The 14,879-nt window shown below is 58.2% G+C and overlaps 1 protein-coding gene across 5 annotated transcripts in view, besides 6 other annotated features; it reads left to right on the top strand.

The window, feature by feature from the left end:
* Positions 1-12,386, top strand: part of ADPRHL1 (ADP-ribosylhydrolase like 1) — a 53,879-nt gene extending 41,493 nt beyond the window's left edge. For 3 of the 5 annotated variants that reach the window (XM_047430086.1, XM_011537461.3, NM_001304433.1), the window contains one exon: positions 3,776-12,386. In XM_047430086.1, coding sequence (XP_047286042.1) covers positions 3,776-8,618 — 4,843 coding nt within the window. In that variant the 3' untranslated portion in view covers positions 8,619-12,386. Of the gene's footprint in view, positions 1-1,020; positions 1,141-3,775 lie in introns of those variants that run through there. The other 2 variants (NM_001375393.1, NM_001394807.1) reach the window with 2 other exon arrangements.
* Positions 386-1,585: an enhancer, noted in NCBI's record as "P300/CBP strongly-dependent group 1 enhancer chr13:114064726-114065925 (GRCh37/hg19 assembly coordinates)". NCBI's record gives its function as "activates an origin of replication core promoter dependent on BRD2, BRD4, P300/CBP, MED14 and CDK7 cofactors, with strong dependence on P300/CBP, by STARR-seq in HCT116 cells {active_cell/tissue: HCT116}" and the evidence as "EXISTENCE:reporter gene assay evidence [ECO:0000049][PMID:35650434]".
* Positions 386-1,830: a biological region, named in NCBI's record as "P300/CBP strongly-dependent group 1 enhancer GRCh37_chr13:114064726-114065925".
* Positions 1,295-1,830: an enhancer, noted in NCBI's record as "H3K4me1 hESC enhancer chr13:114064481-114065016 (GRCh37/hg19 assembly coordinates)". NCBI's record gives its function as "activates a minimal SCP1, AML or CMV promoter by ChIP-STARR-seq in naive H9 embryonic stem cells {active_cell/tissue: H9 hESC(naive)}" and the evidence as "EXISTENCE:reporter gene assay evidence [ECO:0000049][PMID:30033119]".
* Positions 4,019-4,704: an enhancer, noted in NCBI's record as "H3K27ac-H3K4me1 hESC enhancer chr13:114061607-114062292 (GRCh37/hg19 assembly coordinates)". NCBI's record gives its function as "activates a minimal SCP1, AML or CMV promoter by ChIP-STARR-seq in naive H9 embryonic stem cells {active_cell/tissue: H9 hESC(naive)}" and the evidence as "EXISTENCE:reporter gene assay evidence [ECO:0000049][PMID:30033119]".
* Positions 5,822-6,616: an enhancer, noted in NCBI's record as "H3K27ac-H3K4me1 hESC enhancer chr13:114059695-114060489 (GRCh37/hg19 assembly coordinates)". NCBI's record gives its function as "activates a minimal SCP1, AML or CMV promoter by ChIP-STARR-seq in primed H9 embryonic stem cells {active_cell/tissue: H9 hESC(primed)}" and the evidence as "EXISTENCE:reporter gene assay evidence [ECO:0000049][PMID:30033119]".
* Positions 13,668-13,962: a silencer, noted in NCBI's record as "tiled region #10007; K562 Repressive non-DNase unmatched - State 20:ReprD". NCBI's record gives its function as "represses a minimal TATA promoter and a strong SV40 promoter by Sharpr-MPRA in K562 cells {active_cell/tissue: K562}" and the evidence as "EXISTENCE:reporter gene assay evidence [ECO:0000049][PMID:27701403]".

The following is a 14,879-nucleotide window of genomic DNA, read 5'->3' as shown; positions in this document are numbered from 1 at the left end:
TACCACGAGGGGCGGGGACCAGAGAGGGTGAGCGCAATAGTGGGCGGTGGGCGCAGGACTTTGTGACGAGAAGGGGCAGCCCAGGGGAATGGCAGGACAGCAGGGAGCAGGGGAGTGGCCAGGCCAGACCCAGGGAGGAACTTGGTTAATGATGATTGCAAAACACAAAGGCTCTGTGAAGGGGGCTGTGGAAACCCCTCTCGCTCCCGCCAAGGGCGTCATCCTGAACCGCGGACGCCTCCGACAGCCACAGGTCCATGGCTGAGGACACCTCAGCAAGGCGGGGCTCACCCCAAAGAGGACTTTGTAGCTCTGGCCGAATCCCCTAATCCTCAGCCAATAAACCCAGAAGAGCATCCTGATCTCTGTGAGTGAAAACGTGTCTCAGATGATCACGCTGCGGGGTGAAAGCCGGCTGTGACAGCTGAAGAGCTGGACCGGGTGGCCAAGTACGTCCTCCACGCTCACCGCTGGTTGCTGGCCAGGTCTTGATGACACGCTGACCTCATAAGTGGTTACAGACTTAGATGTGCGGTGGAAGAGCTAAACTGGATTTTGAGCCACTATGACTCATAAGGAGGACATGCAGCTAGTCCAACCTATGAGGATCCACTGACATGGCCCCACCACCCAGAACAGACGCTCAGCCTCGACAAGGGGCTCCGAGTGTGGGGAGTGGTCCCGTCACCAAGCTGCCCACCACCTGAGGCCAGGGCAATGGGAATTTAGAAATCAGCCTGGAGCTCCATTACTCTCTTCATCCAAGCTCGCCTCCTAACAAGGCAGGAGGATGAGCTGGTTTAATTCCAGCTCTGTTTTTCATCTTTCTATTTGGACGGTGGGGCTCAGAAGCCATCAGCGAGGGATGTGGGAAGGGGCGGATTGACGTCACACGTGGCTGAGCCTGGTGGCCTTTATTCAGATGATCAGAATGTCCCCACCACAAGCAGTCAGCATGGTTCAGTCATCCGAATGACTCACCTGCAAAGTCATTAAGACAACTGAAATGCCCAGAGCGGGGACAAAACGTGTGACAGGCTCTGAGAAGTTCAGCCTCCTGGGGTGAAGGGAGCGCAGCCCTCCACGGGCCGCCAAGTCATAGCAGAGGGGACGTGTCCAGAGACGCCCGGCGGAAGGCAGGTAGGGCCGCTGACCCTTCGCTGGGGGTGCAGCCTTCAGAGGGAGCACAATGCCCCCAGGCTGGTCCCCCAACCCCGAGGTCGGCCTGCTCCTCTGCCCTCCCCATCCCCACGGCGCAGTTGAGGGTGCGCCTGTCGACTCTGGGTTCAGGGGGGTGTGGGCGGCCTCTGGCTGGGGCAGTTCTGGGGCCGCCCGGGATCACTTTACCAGCCATAGGGACACAGCGGCTCCTTCCTGGGTGGGCTCCAATGACTCAGAACGAGGGCGTGCCTGGCAGCAGGACGCACAGCTGCTCCTTGGATTAGTTTATTTTTACAGTCGTCCCAGCTCGCAGCACACTGTGGCCTTGCAGCAGGTTCCGAGTTTAGTTTTCGTGTAAATGTCTCATCCTTGGCAGGTTTGGAAGGAGCGCCGTCTGCCTCAGTGGTTCCGAGTGGGGTCCCCGGACCAGCGGCCTCGGAATCACCAGGGACTCGTTAAAATGCAGATTCCCAGGCCCCTCCCCAGACCGTGGATCAGAGGCGTTGGTGGTGCGGCCCCAAAATCCGGGTCTCAGCAAGGCCTCTTGATCCACTGATGCCCACCGGGGTTTGGGGGCGAACGGCACACTCTCTCCACGTGAACTCACTGAACCGGGCGAGGGAGGCGTCTCGGGAAGGTGGGGGAAGCGGAGTCCTGTGTTCCATCTGCGGCCCTGCCACTCCTCCGTGTGGGGTCCGTCCTGGCCCTGGGTCATCGCGTGCCCACGGCAACACGGCTACGTGGTCATGTGGTCAGCCGCTGTCACCTCCTCCATCAGGGCTGCTTGGCAACAGCTTTTAACAAGGAAATCCATCCATGGCTTCAAAACAGAGCTCTCTCTTTTGGAAAAATGCAGACAAACACAAAAAGAGAAGTATGTTCACACATTTCCTTCCGGTCTCTTTTCAGCCTGCTCAGCTTCTTCCTTTTTTTTTTTTTTTTTTTTGAGACGGAGTCTCGCTCTGTCGCTCAGGCTGGAGTGCAGTGGTGCGATCTCGGCTCACTGCAAGCTCTGCCTCCTGGGTTCACGCCATTCGCCTGCCTCAGCCTCCCAAGTAGCTGGGACTACAGGCGCCCGCCACCACGCCCGGCTGATTTTTTTTTATATCTTTAGTAGAGACGGGGTTTCACCGTGTTATCCAGGATGGTCTCGATCTCCTGACCTCGTGATCTGCCAGCCTCGGCCTCCCAAATCACGCTGAGATTACAGGCGTGAGCCACGGCGCCCGGCCTCAGCTTCTTAAAAACAATCGGGTTAGAGTGAGCTTTTCACTTGGCACCACGTCACCAGCCGCATCCGGCCACCGACTCTTCTCCCACAAATGTGGACGTGCCATTGTGCGGCCGCCCTGGAGTTGGACATCGAGGATGCTCTAGATTTTTCAACATTATAAACGGCACCATGAAGGCGACTTTTCCTGTAATACTCGAGTCTTTGTTCCTCATCCCTGATGATCTCCTTAGAATGAATGACTAACAGGTGTGACAGCTAAGATTCTGGGTGCGTCTACCCAAAATTATCATCTGGGGAGGTCAGAGACGGCTCCACCCCCTGCCACAGATGGGGAGACCTTCCAGCTTTGCTCCTGTGGTCACGGCTGCTCAGGAGCAGAACTTACCCCGGACCCAGGCTCAGAAAACACCATCAAATCACAAAGACCCTGTCTCTCCAGCCAAGACCCATTTGGTCCCGTCTCTTTGAAAGCTGGGCTGGTGGGAAGGAATCCCTGGTGAACCTGCAGAAAAACATCTCACTGGGAAAGGGCGGCAGCCCCCAGCCTCAGTGGCTCCTCTAAGCCATTTTGAAAGGGGTTCCGGAGACCCAGCCAAGTGATCCCAGCCCTCCTCCCTCCTCTCTGCAGCCCCCTCTTTCCTCCCTCTCTGCAACCTCCCCTCCTCTCTGCAACCCGCTCCTCCCCTCCTTTCAGTAGCCCCATCTTTCCCTCCTCTCTGCAGCCCCCTCCTCCCTTCCTCTCTGCAGCCCCCTCCTCCCCTGCTCCTGGTGGGCACTGCCCACTGCAGTGCTGGTTCCTGCCCAGGAGCTTGTGAGGAAACTCTTTCTGCCTTCTCCGCCCACCCCAAGCCTGAGCGGTTTGCTGAATCTTCAGTCTCTGCTGTAGGGACCCAGGTCCCTGGGATCATGGCAGAATTTAAATATGCTGTTAATTTTATCTTTCATACTTAAAGGTAGAGACATACACAGTCCACACAGAGAATAGACACTTCTTTATATGTGCTTTTTTACCTACTGTACAAGCAAAGTATGTTTGTTAAAATTTTCTTTTAATATGTTGCATATGCAAAGTGGTTTTCCAAACGCTTTCACTAAACTGTTCAATGTCAACTCCTCAATGCCCTTAGGAGGAGCGTGTGTCAGAAGTTCCTGCCATTTAACAGGAAACAGTGACCCAGAAAAGCTTTGGCATCCCTGCCAACCCCGAATTAACAGCAGAGACAGCCCAGAAGCCACAGCTCCTGGCTCCTAATCTCTTTTTCTCCCTACCAGACTTTTGGGGCCCCTGAAAAGGTGGGATTGCCCCATGATAAATGTTCTATAGAGTCATCTTGGAGAAAAATGATGATGAAGTAGGTGATGATTCCTTTTTCTCTGCAGCCGGAAGAGCAGCAAGACCTGCAGTGACGTCATGTCTGTGGACGCCCAAACCCTGAAGAAGAAGATGGGCAAGCTGGCCTGTGACCCGGCCGCCCACTCCATCCTCAGCAGCCTGCTGCTCTACGTCACGGGCCGCGCAGACCGGCCCCCGGGGACAGAGGCCGGGGGGAGCAGGCCCAGCCACCAGCCCCAGACCCAGGAGGCCACCCAGCGGCCCACGCGCTTCCAGCTCCTGCAGGCCAAGTTCCTGGGCACTGGCCGGGAGCGCTACCTCAAGAGGACCAGGGAGGTGGGCCGGCTGATCTCCAAGGACAAGCAGGGGCCGGGTGGGGGCCTCGTGGGTGCCACCATCAACAAGCTCCTGGAGAAGACCAAGGAGCCGGCCCCAAAGCCCTGCCTCAGCGAGAAGCCCCGCTGGGGCCACCCGGCCGGGAAGAGCACCGTGAAAAACATCCTGAAGATATTCTTGGCCGCCGAGGAGAAGGAGGCGAAGGAGAAAGAAGCACGCGAGAAGCCCCCTGTGGAGCGGCCCAAAGCCGCCAGGGGCCTCTTGCCGAAGATCATGGGCAAGAGCTCGGTGCTGTCCAAGCTGCGGGAGAAGTTCGAGCAGAACAGCTGCCTGTGCTCCGAGGCCAGTGCGCTGAGGCTGCACACGCAGGAGCGGAAGAAGAGGAACCTGCAGAGGAAGAGGATGCACCGGCCGGAGGTGCGCGTGCTGCACACGGCCACCATGGCCAGCACCTGCGTCAAGATGCCCCCTGCCCGCTTTCTGGCCTGCACGGCTGAGCCCCTGCCGGCCCTCAGCATCGCCACCGTCGTCTGTGGCCCCAGGAGCTGGCTGTCCCACTGCACCAAAATCAGCCACTCGGAGGCAAGGCGTCCACCCAGAGGAGAAGCCAGCGTGCCCCCTAGTGCCAGGGAGACGGGGCCCAGTGGGAACAAAGCAGTGGGAAAGGGGCCCCTGGAGGAGGAGCCCCAAAGACAGCCAAGGCCCTCGAAGCCCGTGACACCCCAGGTGATGGCTCAGAGGGACGGCCACGCTGTCCCCTCGCTGGCCTTCTCTTGTGCTCCCTGCACAGGTGGAGTCCTTCCTGGCCTTGTGCCTGCATCATCCCCACTGGGACCGGCCAGCCCTTGGGGCACCGGATCAGCCGGAGGTGATGGGACTGCAGACCCCACCGCAGAGAGCACCGCAGGAGGCGTCCAGGAGGTGAGGGGAGCCAGGCTCACGTGGCCTCCTGGGCCCCCAGGCGAGTGTGCAGGGGAGGGCCCTGAAATCACCATGACTGTTTGCAGTTCAGAGGATGAAAGGGAAGGAGCAGGCTTCCCAGACCCAGGGAGAGACCCCCTCTTTGCCACCCAGAAGTATTTCCCAGAACAGAAGGTGCCGGAGCACATCCCACCCCTGAACGCTCCATCGGTCCAGGCTGCTCGGAGAACACAGCCTGCCACGGAGCCTCCACGGATAACTGTCCAAATTCCAGTTGTCCATGAAATGCCAGCCCCTCCCACCAGGCTGCAAAATATGTCAAGTGGTGAAAACAAACCTTGTATTTGTGGAGGAGAGAATGTGGTTGAAAATGCCCACACAGAATTTCCCACCGTGACTGAGAACAGAAGGGGTCACCGAGCCCCAGTGGAACTGAGCAAGCTTTCAGGGATGCAGGCGGGACTCAGCGCCTCTTCGCCGCAGGGGCCACGGGCAGCTCCGCGTCTGGCAGCAGCAAGAGGGGCTGTGGGCGCCGACCACAGTGTCCCAGAGACACTTCTGACACAGAGACTCCAGACAGATCCTGCTGGCGGGAAGGAAAACAAAGGCAGCTTTGAGAATTCACACGGTCCCAGGAATCCTGACGATATTTCAGGAGAGAGGACCTCTGAGCTCAGAGATGTGAAGCATCCGTTGCCGGAATCTAATGAAATATCAATGCAGAAGAAGGGCTCCGCAACAAATGATCCTGCAGCCTCACAAAACCTTCTGAGGGGAAACACCAGCCATGCCTCCAGCAGCCAGCAAGTGCCGTCCCCGACTGGGAGAAACCCAACAGGAGCCCCCACGTCACTGGCGGCATCATCCAAGGGGCGTACGGGGCCTGAGGGTGTCACCCCGATGGGCATGACAGTGCCCGGTGCGCTGGAGGAATGCAGAAGGCCGCTGCTAATAGAGTCTTCTCAGCCCCTGAAGGCTGCCGAGGAAATCACCAGCCATGATGTTCGCGAGAACCCACTGTCCTCATTAAATGAACCACCCAAACCAGGTATGAAAGCCTGTGGGGCGATGGCAGCTGCAGGGAGCGTTGCGAGCCGCGCCACGCCTGCACCAGCGCCAGGCAGCACCCAGAGCCCTGGAGACCGCACAGCGGGAGAGCCAGAGACGCTGGGCCAGTGGGGAAGCAGAGCCTTGTCCGAAAGCCACCCCAGAGGAGAGGCTCTCCCTCGAGACCCTCACAGCCACGGCCTCCTGGCCCCTGGGGGATCCTTGGAGCCCAAGAGTGGAGCAGCAGGGAGGAGCCTCCTGAGAGGCGTGGCCCTCGTCCAGCACCCAGAGGACATTGCGACCCTCGCCCGCCACCCGGAGGATGCTGCGGCCCTCGCCCGGCACCCAGAGGCGGCCCGATTATACATTTCAAACACATCAGCAGCCAGCAGACATACAGCAGCTGTAGGAGGCAGAAAGGATGTGGCTGTGGAAGGAAACCTTTTGGGTTTCAGCACAGAGTCTGGAATTCCTGCTTCTGATCATCCTAGGCCACAGGCAAGGAGCGTGGCAGAGTCCCCCAGCTATGGCCCTGGCCTCCCGCCGTCGCCTCCTGAGAACCCACAGGCAAAGGGCAGGGAGGGCGTCAGGTTTCCCCGTGGGGCGGAGCCTGACCATCTGCTTCCCGCAGTGCCTCCCGCGGAGGTGGACATGGGGTGGGTAGGTGGCACCCACCAGCGGGGCCCTCCCCATCTACAGGCACACCTGCCCCCTACTGCTGGTGACACACAGGCAAAGCTCCGGGCCAGTGTCCCCGAGCCTAGGACGCAGGCAGGTGAATCCCAGGAGCGTCCCCTGACACAGGCGGACCTGGGGAGGCAACAGAGTCACCAGGCACAGGAGGAGACCCCCCAGCCCGGGGATGCGGGGAAGAGGGTGGCGCCGTCGGGCTCGAAGGTTGTGCTGAACCCAGCAAAAGAGCCTCAGACATGGTGGGCACAGGATCTGGCCGGGGACAAAGGGATGGCCATTGGGGTTGGGGGCGCCTGCCAGCGCAGTGACCAAGGTCAGCAGCATCTGCAGGGACCCTGGGAGGAGCGGGGGCGGAGCACGGCGTGGGGAGAGGGCACCAGGGCTGCCAGGAACCCAGCTGTGCCTCCAGGGGAGCCCGAGGGGCCGGGAAGCCCGGCAGCCCAAGGACAGGCCCAGAAACAGGTTCAGGAATGGGACCGGGGACAGGTTCAGGGACACGCTCAAGAACAGGCCCAGTGGCAGACCCAGATAGAGGCCCAGGGGCAGGCACAGGAACAGGCTCAGGGTGGGACCCAGGGACACAGTCAGGGACAGGCCCAGAAACAGTTTCAGAATTGGGCCCAGGGACAGGCTCAGGGACACGCTCAAGAACAGGCCCAGTGGCAGACCCAGATAGAGGCCCAGGGGCAGGCACAGGAACCAGCTCAGGGTGGGGCCCAGGGACAGGTTCAGGGACAGGCCCAGAAATGGGCTCAGGGGCAGATTCAGGGACAGGCCCAGAAACAGGTTCAAGGAGAGGTTCAGAAATGGGCCCAGGAAGAGGCTCAGGGACAGGCCCAGTGGCAGACCCAGATAAAGGCCCAGAAATGGGCTCAGGAACAGACCCAGAAAGGGGCTCAGGAACGGGTTCAGGGTCAGGCCCAGAAAGGGGCTCAGGAACGGGCCCAGGAACAGGCTCAGGAGCAGACCCAGATAGAGGCTCAGGGTCAGGCCCAGAAGGGGGCTCAGGAACGGGCTCGGGAACAGGCCCAGAAAGGGGCTCAGGAACGGGCTCGGGAACAGGCCCAGAAAGGGGCTCAGGAACGGGCTCGGGAACAGGCCCAGAAAGGGGCTCAGGAGCGGGCTCGGGAACAGGCCCAGAAAGGGGCTCAGGAACGGGCTCGGGAACAGGCCCAGAAAGGGGCTCAGGAACGGGCTCGGGAACAGGCCCAGAAAGGGGCTCAGGAACGGGCTCAGGAACAGGGTCGGGAGCAGACCCACATAGAGGCTCAGGGTCAGGCCCAGAAAGGGGCTCAGGAATGGGCTCGGGATCGGGCTCGGGATCAGGGCTGGGAGCAGACCCAGATAGAGACTCAGAGGCAGACCCAGAAAGGGGCTCAGGAACGGGCTTGGGAACAGGGTCGGGAACAGGCCTTGACAAGTGGGATGGCGCCTCGGGCCTGGGAGCAGCCCATTAGTGGCATAGCTGAGGGAGTGGATGCTGCTGGCAGGAGTGGGGGGTCCAGAAGCCCAGCCCCCAGGGATGGTGGACAGTCAGGGGGCAGTGGCCTGGGGGAGCCCAGCGCCGGGTACCCACCCCCAGGAAGCCGCCCCCTCAGGGGCAAGAGCATTGCCACCTCTCCCCTGGGGCTGGGAAAGAGCCCAACTGAGCCCAAGCCTGAGGCTGGGGGCTGCGGGACTCCCCAGGCCCCGGCCCAGGAGGGGTCCCCAGACCACCCTGGGGCTGAGAGGGCCCTGCAGGACAGGATGGAGGCATCGGAGCCCGAGCGTCGCGGGAGGTCCAGGCACCTGGCCAAGTACAAAGCCCAGAGCTTCCGTGACCAGAGGGCCTTCGATTTGTCCTTCAGACCAATGAGCGTCAGGGCCAGCGACACGTCTGAGCTCCCAAAGTGAGGCCCCGAGTACACACCGTGGCTCGCCCAGCACTGTGACATCCGCCCATTGAGGGACTTCAGGCATTTTCCTGCCTCCAAATGCGTCTTGGAGCATCCCCTACAGAGACGCCTGTTTCCATAATTTTCTTTCCCTTCTTCACAAGCTGACCTTGGGAGGATTGAGCTACATGTGGGTCGGGTTCCTGTCACCCCACAGAGCCACGAGGCCATGGGGGTGGGAGGTGCGGGCCTGTGGCCTCACCAGGCCCTCGGGATTCTTTGTGTCTTCACTCGGGGGCGCCGGCTCACCCCTCTCTCACACAGCCTGCAGCGTGGAGCTCACACCTCCCGCAGTGGCACGGTGTGTGCGTCCCCTTCGATCTGCAGGATGCTGGCACTTTGGGACACCTCCCCAGCTCTCACAGGGCCACCTCCCACTGCTCCCTGCCCACACCCCACCATGCCCTGCTCTGACGTGGCCGCATGGCACCCACCATCCATGGGCCCAAAGTGATGCACACCGCCCCACCCCCATGACTCGAAAGAAAGGGCAGAGCTTCCTCCAGCCTCAGACGCCCAGGTGGGTGCCGGGTGCTGTGTGGCTGCTGGGCCATGTGGTGGTCACCAGAGGGTGTGGGGACGCTGGGATCCCAGGCCGAAACCAGCTCATCCGGAGGAAGAGGCCTCAGGAAATGCCCACGTTAAGTTCTGAGAAAGGGACAGTGCAGAGCCGTGGGAAGCCAGGATCCCAGGGAGGCTTCGTCTGGAAACTGGGTGCTGGGAGAACGAACGGGAGCCTGCCCGCCCTTCCCTGCAGTCCCTGTGGGTGGTGCCACTGGTGCCGGTGACCTGAGAGCCTCGCTGTCTGTCCTCCGTCCTCCCGAACAGCATAGAAGTGTTTCCTGCCCTGGCCCGAGACGGCCCACGACTCCGGCCCTGTTCAGGTACTGAGGTAATGCATGTTCAGGCTGGAATATTTGAATGCTGTCTAGAGGCACAAGAAGGAAATCAAAGCCACCTGTGGTCACATTGCCTCGAGATGGTTTTTGTTGCTACTCTGGACTATTTTTTAGGCTCTTCCTCCATGCACCTATTTTAAAGCACATTCTTCCCCATGATGGAGCCATGCACCTCCGTGTCGCGATCCATCGTCCCAGGCCACTCGGTGGCCTCTGAAACCCGGACCCGTGAGGCCACACGGCTGCCTGAGTGGCCCCGGAGCAGCTGGATTTTCAGCGTGAACCGATGCAGCCTGTCGCCCTACAGCCCCGCACCCTTGTTTTTGGTGGTGCCCTCCCTGTGGAAAGTTAATTCCTGCTTTTTGAAGGTGTCTTGGCATCTTCTGCCTTTGCTACTGAGCGGTTTCCTGAAACAGCCCTAAGCGTTCGCAAAGGCGCTTTGGTGCCTGCTGCGAGCACCTGTTTTCTGACTCGGATGTTCCTTTAGAGGAAGGTGTTTTCCAGTGTCGGCCCTGAGAGGGCGTTCAGCAGGCGCGTCCTACCCACGCGGGGCTGAGGTCTCTCCTTCCAGGGAAGGTCCATCCCGGCAGACGCCAGTGGCTTTGGCTCTGCAGCGCCAAGGAGGCGGCGTGGCGTCATGCTCCGGGGAGCGCACAGGTTTCCTTCCAGTCGAACAATTAACTTCAGATCCAGCAGGTTTGACCCACCCTCACCTGCTGGGACATGCGAGTGCTGGTGTCTGGAAGGAGGGCCGGGCTGTGCTGAGCTCTGGGGGGCCGGTCCCCACAGCTCCCCCGACAGGGCCCCCGGGGCCTCCTCTATAAATCAGGGGTCCGTGCTCCCAGCCCGCTTCGAGGGGTTTCTGCTTGGCGTGTGGGTTCTAAGTGCGAGCTGCTGTGTGTGGAGGCTCCTGAGCACCGGGTGCCCCTCGCGCGTGTGGGTCCCGGGGCAGCCCAGCTGCACACAGGATGGTCCGGGGGTGCGGGTGGGGGCAGAGCTGAGCATGGCGTGTACTTGGCCACAGAAGTCTTGCTGTGGTGCCGCTGGACCCCTGCTAGGAGGACAGGGTCCCCTCTCTCACGAAGCACACGGACCTCCAGAGTCCCTGCCCCTGCAGTCCTGGGAGCCTGCAGTTGGGGCTGGAGTTGGCCTCTCGGAGCCACCCAAACGGAGAGGCCCATGAGAGGGGAGCTCAGGGGTCCAGCAGAGGCTGACAGAGTGGCCTCTTTGTCCTGTTGGCGGCCCCTGCTCATGCCTGGGGCGTCCTCCCTGGAGCTGGGGGAGCTCAGGGACCCCCAGGTCTGTGTGGCTGCCCCTGCCACTCCAGGCACAGCGGCACGGCCCTCACTCTTTACCTATTTGGAATTGGAGGCAATGAGTGGCAAGAACATGATGACAGACACGGGAGGTAAAAATATGTTCACTGGCTGTTCCCTTTATAAATAAGAAGTGGTGGGACTTGCGCTGCTATTTTTAAATAGACCAGAGAGTACACTGGAGAAGGCATTGAGTGGTTTTATTTTAAGTGGTGGAAAAAATGATGAGAATCTCCTCCAGATGACAGCTCCGGAAGTGTCGTGCCTGAACCCCTCTCACAGTCTGGCGGGCGCAGAGTCTGTGAGCGGCCAGGAGGCCACCTGCTCGACTGGCCCGTCCTCTCCATGTGCCAGATGCAGCCCAGCATGACACTGCCCTCAGCTCAAAAACAGCACAGCTACTCTGTGTGCAGGAAAAAACTGCCAGTGACTTCACCAGGATTTGAGAACGGTCCGTACGTTCACACTAAGCTGAGACAGCGCAGGTTAGAAGATAGCGCGGGGAAGTATTCACACTTCAGATACGACCATCACGGCCACATGGCTAAGGCCCACACCCTCCCGGGGTGAAATAACTACAGCAGAAGAATGGGGCGCTAACCACCTCCACGGGCATTTTAAATAAAACCCAAAGTTGTTTTGTTTTTTTAAAAAAAAAAAAAAAGAAAGAAAGAAAGTGGCCGGGCACGGTGGCTCATGCCTGTAATCCCAGCACTTTGGGAGGCCGAGGCAGACAGATCACGAGGTCAGGAGATCAAGACCATCCTGGCTAACACAGTGAAACCCTGTCTCTACTAAAAATACAAAAATTAGCCGGGCGTGGTGGTGGGTGCCTGTAGTCCCAGCTACTCGGGAGCCTGAGACAGGAGAATGGCGTGAACCCGGGAGGTGGAGCTTGCAGTGAGCCGAGATTGCGCCACTGCACTCCAGCCTGGGTGACAGAGCGAGACTCCGTCAAAAAAAAAAAAAAAAAGAAGAAAAGAAAAGAAAAGAAAACAGGATATTTATTTTAGCTTCTTAGTTAACATCATTAATTTTGTGTAGTTGAGCGACTCGTTGACTGCCTCCTCCCTGCAGTTTTTTACGGTGCCTCCGGCTGTCGACAGGCCCACTGTGAGCCGCAGGTCTGTGGGTGCAAGTGACAACAGCCGGGCGGGAGGCGGTGCACTCAGGCGGCAGGAAGGTCCCGAGACGGCGACGAGAATGTGGTCATGTTCAGGACACTCGCTCAGGGAGGGTCGTTGTCTGGGATTTTACACGCTCAGCACCACCTCCTTATTCTGTTCTCAGGGTATCTCTGCTGTTGGAGTTACGGTCTTTCGGTTGTGTATTAGGCTACAGCTATTTATTAAATTTGTTCTTGTTCATATTCTTCTTTGTATATAAACAACCCTAAAATGGGTTAGTCAGAAAAAATTACTAAATGTCATTTGTTGTATTCTCTCTGTATTTTTACTAACATCATTCAGCTGGAAATAATTTCAAAAAGAAATAAAATACCTTTCCCATTACAAATCTCTTCCTTGCATTGTTGAAGCAGCCGCATAAATGAAGTAGGACTCAGGCCTGGGGCGAGGGGCAGAGCCCCCATCGGGTGAATGTGGCCAGCCTGGAGCAGTGATCCTGGGCAGGAGGGAGGGTCTGGGGCAAGGCCCCAAGTGGGAGGAGAACTCCTTAGGATGTGCTTAGAGAGACAAGGCCATGCACTCCCCAGACCCTCTCTTGGTCCAGTCAAGACTGTGCCGGCCTCGGAGCAAGACCCAGGGAGCTGGACTTCGGCCACTGCACCTGGGCCGCGGGGGGCCAAAGGGCTGGGGTGTCCTCTGGGACACGGAGGGAGACTGGACAGAAGGGAGGGAAGGAGTATGGGTGCAACGGGCCCAGCAGGCCTGTGAGACACCCTCTGCCCTCCACTACTCTGTATGCAGGAGAACTTTGTAAGTGACTTTTCATGAGGATTTAACAACGGGTGGTTTAAGCTCACGCCAGACCTAGCTGGGAATGCCTGCATTCCAAACCCCTGCTGTGCCCGTGGGTGGCGCGGGTTCTTGGCATCTTGTGAGGAGGAAAGCTTGTTCCACTGAAACGAGCTGATGCCTCGTGTCTGAGAGCACTGGCCCGGCAGCCGAGGCTTTGGGATGGTGCAGGCACCTCTTGTCCTGAAAGAAAACCCCTGTCAATTAAGCTATGACACAGGCTTTCATTAGAACTTTTATTTTATTTTATTTCATTTATTTATTTTGAGACGGAGTCTCGCTCTGCCACCCAGGCTGGAGTGCAGTGGCGTGATCTCGGCTCACTGCAAGCTCTGCCTCCCGGGTTCACGCCACTGTCCTGCCTCAGCCTCCTCAGTAGCTGGGACTACAGGCGCCCGCCAAGACGCCCGGCTAATTTTTTGTATTTTTAGTAGAGACAGGGTTTCACCACGTTATCCAGGATGGTCTCGATCTCCTGACCTCGTGATCCGCCTGCCTCGGCCTCCCAAAGTGCTGGGATTACAGGCGTGAGCCTCTGCGACCGGCTAGAACTTTTAAAAGCACTTATTGAGGGCGTCTGTGAGACTGGTGTACATAGAAGTCTGATCAAACCCCATTCTTGGGATATTGTTATAAGCTTGGGGTAGACAAATGTTTCCCTGAACAGAAGAAAAAGCCCCAACCACAAAAGGAAGTGCCGGGACATTTGTCTGTTTGAGCGTCGGTGCATTTGCTGAATCTTTATGGCCGCCATGGATTTTTGACAGGAATGGATGTCACGTAGCCCCCAAAGCCCAGGACTGAGCAGCTGAGCAGTGCACGCCGTTTCTCTGACAGCGAGAGGACTGGCCTGGCTCAGGTCCACAACCCCAGGCGGTGTCTGGGAAGCCACTCGAAGGCACAGGAGCCTACTAGAAGCCCCATCTGTGCACACCCCAAACTCGTGAAAGTGCCGAGGCATCTTCTCCTAGAAGAACAAAGGAGGCCAAGCGGGGAGTGAAGGCAACAGTGTCTACAGTGGTCCGTTTCCAAGACAAAGTGCCTTGAATCGGCTTAAGTCAGCAAACTACAGAAGAAACAGGAGGTCCGAGGCCCCTGCCTGGATCGCCAGTGCCTGCTTGCCGGCCTCCCCTTCTCCCTCCCTTCCCCCCGGCCCTTAGGTGCTCTCACCTGAACTAAAGAAGTTTAGTCTAAGATAACAGTTTACTAGCCTGCAAAATAGCTGGCTTTGTCTGTTCTTATCAGCCTGCCCAGCTACTTAGGTCATAAGTCAAATACTTGAAGAGCCCCTGGGCTGACTGGGATTGCAATGCATTGTGGGCTGCAACAAAATGCAACAGGACACCCCTAAAAAAAACACCTACAGCCCCTGCCCAACAACCAATAGGTGACGTCCCAGAAGACTGTGACCCCAGAGTACTCAGCCTGTGAGGAACCCGGGGAGACACCTGTGCACTAGGGGATAAATTATTTGTTGAAACTGTGCTGGCTGTGGCTGCCCATCAGACACCCGATCTTGCAAGACCATCATCAACAGTCTCACTTTCAGCCAGGTGCAGTGGCTCATGCCTGTAATCCCAGCACTTTGGGAGGCTGAGGCAGGCAGATCACAAGGTCAGGAGTTCAAGACCAGCCTGACCAACATGGTGAAACCCCGTCTCTACTAAAAATAAAAAAATTAACTGAGTGTGGTGGTGTGCACCTGTAATCCCAGCTACTCAGGAGGCTGAGGCAGGAGAACTGCTTGGACCCGGGAAGCAGAGGTTGCAGTGAGCCGAGATTACGCCACTGCACTCCAGCCGGGTGACAGAGCGAGACTCTGTCTCAAAAAAAAAAAAGAAAGAAAGAAAGTCTCCCTTTCACTCTCCTCCGGGTCTCCGAGTCCTTCTTCTGGGTTTGGACAGATGAGTTTGTTTCTCACCACTTGAGACCAGGAGTTCCAGACCAGCCTGGGCAACATAGTGAGACCCCGTCTCTATTTAAAAATGAAAGTAAAATAAAAAATAAAAGAACAAAAGACCACAGGTCA

Source organism: Homo sapiens, chromosome 13 (assembly GCF_000001405.40).
Source record: "Homo sapiens chromosome 13, GRCh38.p14 Primary Assembly".
NCBI classification, from domain to species: Eukaryota; Metazoa; Chordata; class Mammalia; order Primates; family Hominidae; genus Homo; species Homo sapiens.
This window is presented reverse-complemented; position numbering and strand designations above follow the sequence as displayed.